This window comes from Homo sapiens, chromosome 15 (genome assembly GCF_000001405.40).
Source record: "Homo sapiens chromosome 15, GRCh38.p14 Primary Assembly".
Lineage (NCBI taxonomy): Eukaryota > Metazoa > Chordata > Mammalia > Primates > Hominidae > Homo > Homo sapiens.
The window spans coordinates 74689842-74697895 of NC_000015.10; the positions used below are offsets into that span (position 1 = coordinate 74689842).

Sequence of the window (8054 nt, forward strand, 5' to 3'; positions counted from 1 at the left end):
CACCTCCAGGTAAGAATACTTTAATTCATTTACCACTTTGTTCTTATACAAATAAACAAGTTGCCAATTACAAATCTAGCTACTTTGGAATATCCTTCATCTCATTAATACATTACTAGTGTAAGTTTGCTGACAGGATTTGATGTACAATAAAAAAAAATACATCTTCCCTGTAAAGCCTATTCATGACAATAAATCCTTCAAACAATTCCACTTCTAAAAAAAACTAATTTTTCTGTGTAGTATTCAACAATGTTAAATATTTCAAAAAAATGCAATGTTTGTGCAGCTAGCTAACCAACACTTATTTTGCCAACTTGTTATTAAAATCTATCCTAACAATCTGTGTAGCTAGGAAGGGAGCCACAGATGTGACATAATCAAGATTTTCCAGATTACTTTTAATTATGGGACTATTTTGCTCAAATGCTGAACTATCAGGATTTCCAGACTACTGAATGCCAGATAAGTAATGGGACTTTATCATTATTCTGATAAGCCTTTGGATAACAAAGTCAGGTAGCGCTAAACACTCTTCCATCTATTATATTACTAAGGCAGCGCCCAAATGATCCATAAATTACAAATAAACAAGTTGCCAATTACAAATCTAGCTACCTCCATCTCTGTGCCACATCAGACAACTCACAGCATTCAGATCCAATAAACAACCCTTGGCCTGCTAAAAACAATTATAATTAACAGCTGTGGATGAGTGAGTAGTTATAGATTTCTGAAAAACTAGGAATTGTTCCACACAACAGGAAAGGTGTTTGTTTAATCAAAATATTGGGAAAGGCAGAGATCTTAAAAGAAAATATGCAACCCAGCATGATGGCTCAGGCCCTACATCCCAGCACTTTGGGAGGCTGAGGCAGGAGGATCACTTGAGGCCAGGAGTTTCAGACCAGCCTGGACAACATAGCAAGACTGTTTCCACCCCCACCCCGCCTCAGAAAAAGAAATCCAGCACAATCCCCTATCTAAATCCAGTACTAAACCCATATCTTCCATAAAAGGCAGCACGGTGAAAAGAGAATAAAATTCTGAAATCACACTGGGTGTGGTGGCTCACGCCTCAGGTGGCTAGTGTCTGCAATCCTAGCACTGTGGGAGGCCAAGGAGGGCTGACCGCTTGAGCCTAGGAGTTCAAAGCCAGCCTGGGCAACATGGCAAAACTCTGTCTCTAGAAAAAATACAAAAAATTAGTCAGAAGTGTTGGGAGGCGGAGGTTGCAGTGAGCCAAGATTGCACCACTGCACTCCAGCCTGGGTGGCAGAGCAAGACCCTGTCTCAAAAAAAAAAAAAAAGAAAAAAATGAAATCAGACATCACAGCCCCTGGTTCACTTCTGAACTTCCTTACTAACCAGCACTACGACCTGGGCAAATTACCTAATCTGAGTCTCAACTGCCTCATCTGTAGGGAATTATGCCAATTATACACCTATCTCATAGAACCACTATATGAATTATTTTAAGATACTATATGGATTATTTTAAGATACTATATGGATTATTTTAAGATTAAATGAGATAATCCATATAGTGTCTACAACATAAAAAATTTTAGTTCAAATGTCTCCTTTTGCCAGAAAGAATACCGATCACATAGGGAACTTAAGTTATGGCGCTGTGAGGGCCACCTCACTTCTCACCCAAACAAAATTACAAAAATACATGAATTCCCTCTACAACATCTTGGAAATCAAGTCCTGGTCTTTACACTGGAATACACATGTCCGTAGGGGGTACACAAAGATATGCAAGCAAGGGAATCAACTTCCATGCTACTCTCATAAACCTGATCTGTGTGGATAACTAGATGATCAATTTTAAATTTTCAGGCATAAAATTTATTACTTTAGGATGGGTAGGAAAACTACAGCCCTAAACCAGATCTGGTCTGCTACCAATAAAGTTTTATTGGAACACAACTACACAAAAATACTTGCATATTATCTACGGCTATTTTCTGGGTTTTTTTGGGTTTTTTTGAGACAGTCTTGCTCTGTCGTCCAGGCTGGAGTGCAGTGGAGCGATCTCGGCTCACTGCAACCTCCACCTCCCGGGTTCAAGCGATTCTCCTGCCTCAGCCTCCCAAGTAGCTGGGACTACAGGCGCCCACCAACACGCCCGGCTAATTTTTTTTGTATTTTTTAGTAGAGGCGGGGTTTCACTGTGTTAGCCAGGATGGTCTCGATCTCCTGACCTCGTGATCCGCCTGCCTCAGTCTCCCAAAGTGATGGGATTACAGGCGTGAGCCACCGCACCCGGCCACATATTGTCTATGGCTGTTTTCTCACTACAGTGAGAATTAAGCAGTAATCACAGAAACCATGTGGCCCATAAAGCCTTTCATCTGGCCTTTGACAGAAAGTTGACTTTTGCTTTAGGATAAAATTCTGTGGGAAAAGTGGAATGGATACAAGTTCAAAAAGAAAAAGGAAAAATATGTAATGGACAAACTCCCAAAATGATAAAAATGACCAAAACTAACTCAACTAACTATATTAAGAAATTGAATTAGTAAAATCTTCCCAGAGAGAAAAACCCAGGCCCATAGGACTTCACTGGTAAATTCTATGAAACACGTAAGAAATAATACCAATCCTACACAAACTATTTCAGAAAACAGAGGAGGAAGGAACACTTCCCAATTCATTTTATGAGGTCATAATTACCCTGCTACTAAGGCCAAAGATGACATAAAAAAAAGGAAACCTCAGACCAATATCCATCATGAACACAGTCACAAAAATTAACAAAATGTTAGCAAATTGAATCCATCTATATGTAAAAAGTAGTAGATACATTACTAAGCAGGGTTCATTTCACAAATGCAAGATGGGTTTAACATCTGAAAATCAAGTAATGTAATAAGCTATGTTATGTATTTCTTACAGTCTTTGTTTCAAAAGTTTAGTTGTATGTTTTTACAACATCAAATTGATATTGTATTTAGGTAATTTTATATTTATTTTTAAGAAGTCAATATTTACTTGTCAGAAATTACATCCTAAACTATTTAAAATTAAATACTTACACTATGTAAATCTAGGATGAAAAGTTTCAGGTGCCAACTTAAAAGTATATAAGATCTAACAGATTCCACAGTCTTTTAGACATTCTCAAGAAGAAATGTTTTAAGACTAGTGACCCAGCCTATACCTGAAAGCCTGAAATGACAAGGAGAAAAATAATCATTCATGCCAAAGCAACACCACCATATCTTCAAACTTTTGACTTCTGCCCATAAATTTACTCTTAGCACATCTAGATCTAAACCTAATATTCCAGGTACAAGCCTACCAGTGATGCAACCTTTCTCATTCTAGATTTTGCATTTTCCTGATACAATATACTAATGCAGGTCACATCGGTTCTTCTCACAGCCTTCTTAACCACACCACTGATTGGTGATTAAAACATCACATCTTTTTATTATAGAACTCCTGTGAGGTCACATCTCCACCCTCCCCTAATAGGTATAGTTGATTTTGTTTGGACCCAAGCGCAATTTCTCACATTTATACATGCTTCCTTCATTTCATTAAACAGCACTGAGCAAATTATATTGAGATCTTTTCCCATTCTGGCAATCACCAACCAAATGACTCTTTCTTTACTTCACAAAGGCACCAAATCCAATAAGCAAACCTTCTAGATAAGGTCTCAAATACATGAAGTATATAAAGAAAGTGATGAAACCCCAGTTTAGATCACCGGAATTCCAGCTGTAAGTAGTGTCCACAAATCAAACCTCTCCATACATAGATTTTCAAACTCATGACTCCATCTAACTACCACAATCTGGCAAATTCCTCCATCTCGCCCACTCAGTTATAGTAAGACTCAGTAAGACCAGGCGCGGTGGCTCACACCTGTAATCCCAGCACTTTGGGAGGCTGAGGTGAGTGGATCACCTGAGGTCGGGAGTTCGAGACCAGCCCGGCCAACATGGTGAAACCCCATCTCTACTGAAAATACAAAAATTAGCCAGGCGTGGTGGTGCATGCTTGTAGTCCCAGGTACTTGGGAGGCTGAGGCAGGAGAATCGCTTGAACCAGGAGGCAGAGGTTACAGTGAGCAGAAATTGCACCACTGCACTCCGTCCAACCTGGGCAATGGAGTGAGACTCCATCTCAAAAAAAAAAACAAAAACTTCATAAATGCCTTGCTAAAATTCTGACACACTATCATTATGGTCACTACACTCCTTTGAGCCACAATTTGGATGTCCTGTCCTGTTGTTCTGGCTGAATTTAGGAGAACTCTAGTAAGCCCTTCTCTGGATAAGAAAAGAAAAATGATACATCTTCCATTTTGTATTAATTACAGAATCTCACAAATGGCAAGGATTTTAAACATTTTCTAATGTTGTTTTTCTTAGACAGAGTCTTGCTATGTTGCCCAGGCTGGCCTTAAGCAATCCTCCCACCACTGCACTCGGCCCTAGTCTAATATTTTTCTTTTCTTTTCTTTTTTTGAGAAGTTTAGTTCTTGTTGCCCAGGCTGGAGTGCAGTAGCATATCTTGGCTCACTGCAACCTCTCCCTCCCAGGTTCAAGCGTTTCTCCTGCCTCAGCCTCCCAAATAGCTGGGATTATAGGCACCCACCACCACCCAGCTAAGTTTTGTATTTTTAGTACATACGGGGTTTCACCACGTTGCCCAGACTGGTCTCCAACTCCTGACCTCAGGTGATCCACCCGCCTCAGCATCCCAAAGTGCTGGGATTACTGGCGTGAGCCACAGTGCCCGGCCTTAATATTTTTCAAACTATACGTCATGACCTATTAGGGGTCAGACTCAATTTAGTGAGTTGCAACCAATATTTTTTTAGAGTGCATCTTCTGTAGAAAGGGTAAGTAAACTTTTCATTGGTGTGTGTGTGTGTGTACACACTGAGTGTGCAGGGGCACAATAAGTCATGATGTATAATATATCTAACTGTGGGTCACAGGTAAAAAATTTTGAGACACTTTTCTAGCCCCACAGCCCTATGCCAAGGAGGCTCTACCAAGAAATTGGTAATAAACAAAATGTCATGTTTTTACATCATACAGAGAAACTAGCTAAGAGGATTTTGTGCTCAGTACACGTAATCTGCCATTCATTAAAAAAAAAAAAAAAGATTAGGATCCATCTGGGTGTCCAGTTGAAATACTAAACTGCTTGGAGACAGCCATTTCTGTTTTGGTGGGGTGAAGACCTGTATTTGAGACAGCAGACTGAAATCGGTTTGGTCTGTGGCGAAGGAAGAGAAGAAAAACCATTCTGGGTCGCGAGTTCCTCACCTGTAACCACAGGAGAAGACTGTTGGCTTGGTCAGTTGATTTTCAACTAATCTCCCAATTGAAGAGTTAGGCGAAGCAATTGCTATTGGGAGATTAACTGAAAATTAACTGACCAAGCCAACAAGGACTATGCCTCCCACAAACCAAAACACTTTAACCACTCAGCAAGTCAAGTATTGATACATACAATCAATATCACACAAAGTGTACTGAAAAGAACCACAGACTTGCATCAAAGGCAGAAATGAATCCAGGGATAACTTCCTGGGATTCGAAGATGTGACCTGGTAGGTATAAATTTCTCAGGCATCCTCTTTTTCTACCCTCCAGTTCATCTCCGTCCTCAAGCTATCAGTCATGGATGTGGCACTGGCGTTCTTCTCTGCCACCGTATCTCATTATGCAAAGGGAAACTGAGGCACGAAGAACAGAGTGAGTGAGCCAAAGAACTGCAGCAGCCACCAACAAGGCTGGACTAAGGGCCCAAGCAGCTAATGCCTCACTCCCCACACAATCCCCATACTATTTAGAATCCTGCAGTCCTCAGCCTTCCACCTCAAACCAAACTCCTGGGGCCGCCCGTAGTACGTGGTCCCCTGCTCATCCGATGAAGCCCCCAGCTCTTGCCTGCCTGCCTGCCTCTATAAAGGTCTACGAGGCCTGGAACTCTGAAGCCTAAAGCAACCCCGGCAGCCCCCTCCCACGACCGTCCACAAACCAGTAGCCTCCCTTCGCTCCCACCTCCGCGCCGACGGGCCTGGAGCTCCTCCGCACACCACACCAAGCCGACCACTCAACACCAGAGGACCCACAGAAGAATTCTCTCCACGCCCACCCCCACAGCATCGGCCTTCACCACCGCCGCCGCTGCCGGAAGCGCCCCCACGTCTCCACGCCACCACCGTGAGGTCACTTCCGGCGCGACACCTTGGAATCCAGGGCCGTCAATTGAGGGGCGTGGCACCCGGGAAATTTAAGAGGTTGGAAGAACGTCCCTTCGGCCTTACAGAATTGCGCTTGGGTAGTCATTTTGCCCTCCACGCTTACTTATGTCCTGTGGCGTCTTGGCTGGAATCGGGGCTCTACCCACGACTCCCCAGCCTCGATGCCTGGGCCCCCCTCTTGCAGGCTCGATGAAAAGCACCCGCTTCCCCTCCTGTTACCCCAGCGCCAATCGCAGAGCTGGAGCGGAGGACTTTCAGGGAGGCCTGGTGACGTGACAGCCCCTCCGTGCTAAACTGCAGCTGTGGGACTTAATAAGTGCGACAACCCCCTGATGGATTAAAGAAAACAAGATATTCCTGCCGTGGTCGATCTTCAAAGCGTATCAGCTTCAGCCCTTTTGGGGGTTAAAATCAGCCAGTCCGTGCTTGACTGCTCTCCCTTCCCCCATACTCAGTACACAGGAAAGTGCCGCTCTTCTACCCCTGGCATTTTAGAGTCTTGATTTGTGGGGAGACGGGAAAGCATGCGTTTAGGGCCAAGACCGTGTAATGAGGAATATTGCACAGCCTTGAAGCCTGACACCTGGTTTGGGAACCACTACTTGGGCGAATAGCATAGAGTAGGGTAGCAGTTCCAAACCTAGCTCTACAAAATCAGTTGAAGAACTTTGTAAAATCTACACTTTCTAGGGGACTGCTTCACCCTTCCCCCTCCATCACCAGAGATTCCCTAGGTCAGAAGGGGTCCTTGTCTTTTAAAATTACTGTTATTAATGAACACTTATAGAGCAGTTTTTGGTTCAGGGCAAAACTGAACAGAAAGTACAGAGTTCCCATATATCCCCTGTACACACAGGCACATACACAACTTGTCCCCTCATGGACATCTTGTGCTACAGTGGTACATTTGGTAACAATTGATTACCCAACTTTGACACATCATTATCACCCAGAGTCCATAGTTTACATTAGAGTTTACTCTCGGTGTTGCACATTCTGTGGGTTTTGACATATATGTAATGACATGTATCCACCATTATGGTATCATACACGATAGTTTCACTGCCCTGAAAATCCTCTGTCCTCTGCCTATTTATCCTTCTCAGTCCCCTAACCACTGGCAACCACTGCTCCTTTTACTGTCTCCATAGTTTTGCCTTTTCCAGAATCCCATATAGTTGGAATCATACAGTATGCAGCCTTTTCACATCGGATTCTTTCACTTATGCACTTAAAGTTCTTCCATGTCTTTTCATGGCTTGATAGCTCATTTCTTTTTTGTGCTGAATAATAATATTCCATCGTCTGGATGTGCTGCGGTTTATCCATTCACCTACTGAAAGACATCTTGGTGGCCTCCAAGTTTGGGTAATTATGAATAAAGCCGCTATACATCATGTGCAGATTTTTGTGTAGACATGAGTTTTCAATTCATCTGGGTAAATACCAAGGAGTGCAACTGCTGGATTGGATGGTATATTTAGTTTTGGGAGAAACTACCAAACTGCCTTTCAAAGTGGCTGCATCATTTTGCATTCCCACAGCAGTGAATGAGGGTTTCTGTTGCTCCACATCCTTGTCAGCGTTTTGTGGTGTCAGTATTTTGCCGTTCAAGTAAGTGTGTAGTAGTATCTTATTGTTTTAATATGCAATTCCCTAATGACATATGATATTGAACATCTTTTCATATACTTACTTGCCATGTGTATATCTTCTTTGATGAAGTGTTCATTCAGGTATTTTGCCCATTTTTACATTGTGTTATTTTCTTGTTGTGATTTAAGAGTTCTGGGTATATTGTAGATAACAGTCC

General features: G+C 42.4%; 1 protein-coding gene across 8 annotated transcripts in view, besides 1 other annotated feature; it reads right to left on the bottom strand.

Moving 5' to 3' along the window:
* Positions 1–6183, bottom strand: part of EDC3 (enhancer of mRNA decapping 3) — a 65467-nt gene extending 59284 nt beyond the window's left edge. For 5 of the 8 annotated variants that reach the window (NM_001351379.2, NM_025083.5, XM_024450077.2 and 2 more), the window contains exon 1: positions 6039–6183. The gene's annotated coding sequence lies outside the window, so the exon portion shown is untranslated. Of the gene's footprint in view, positions 1–3044; positions 3178–5524; positions 5975–6038 lie in introns of those variants that run through there. The other 3 variants (XM_047433143.1, NM_001142443.3, XM_024450079.2) reach the window with 2 other exon arrangements.
* Positions 6143–6232: an enhancer, noted in NCBI's record as "active region_9788". NCBI's record gives its function as "activates an Ori minimal core promoter by ATAC-STARR-seq in GM12878 lymphoblastoid cells {active_cell/tissue: GM12878}" and the evidence as "EXISTENCE:reporter gene assay evidence [ECO:0000049][PMID:35858748]".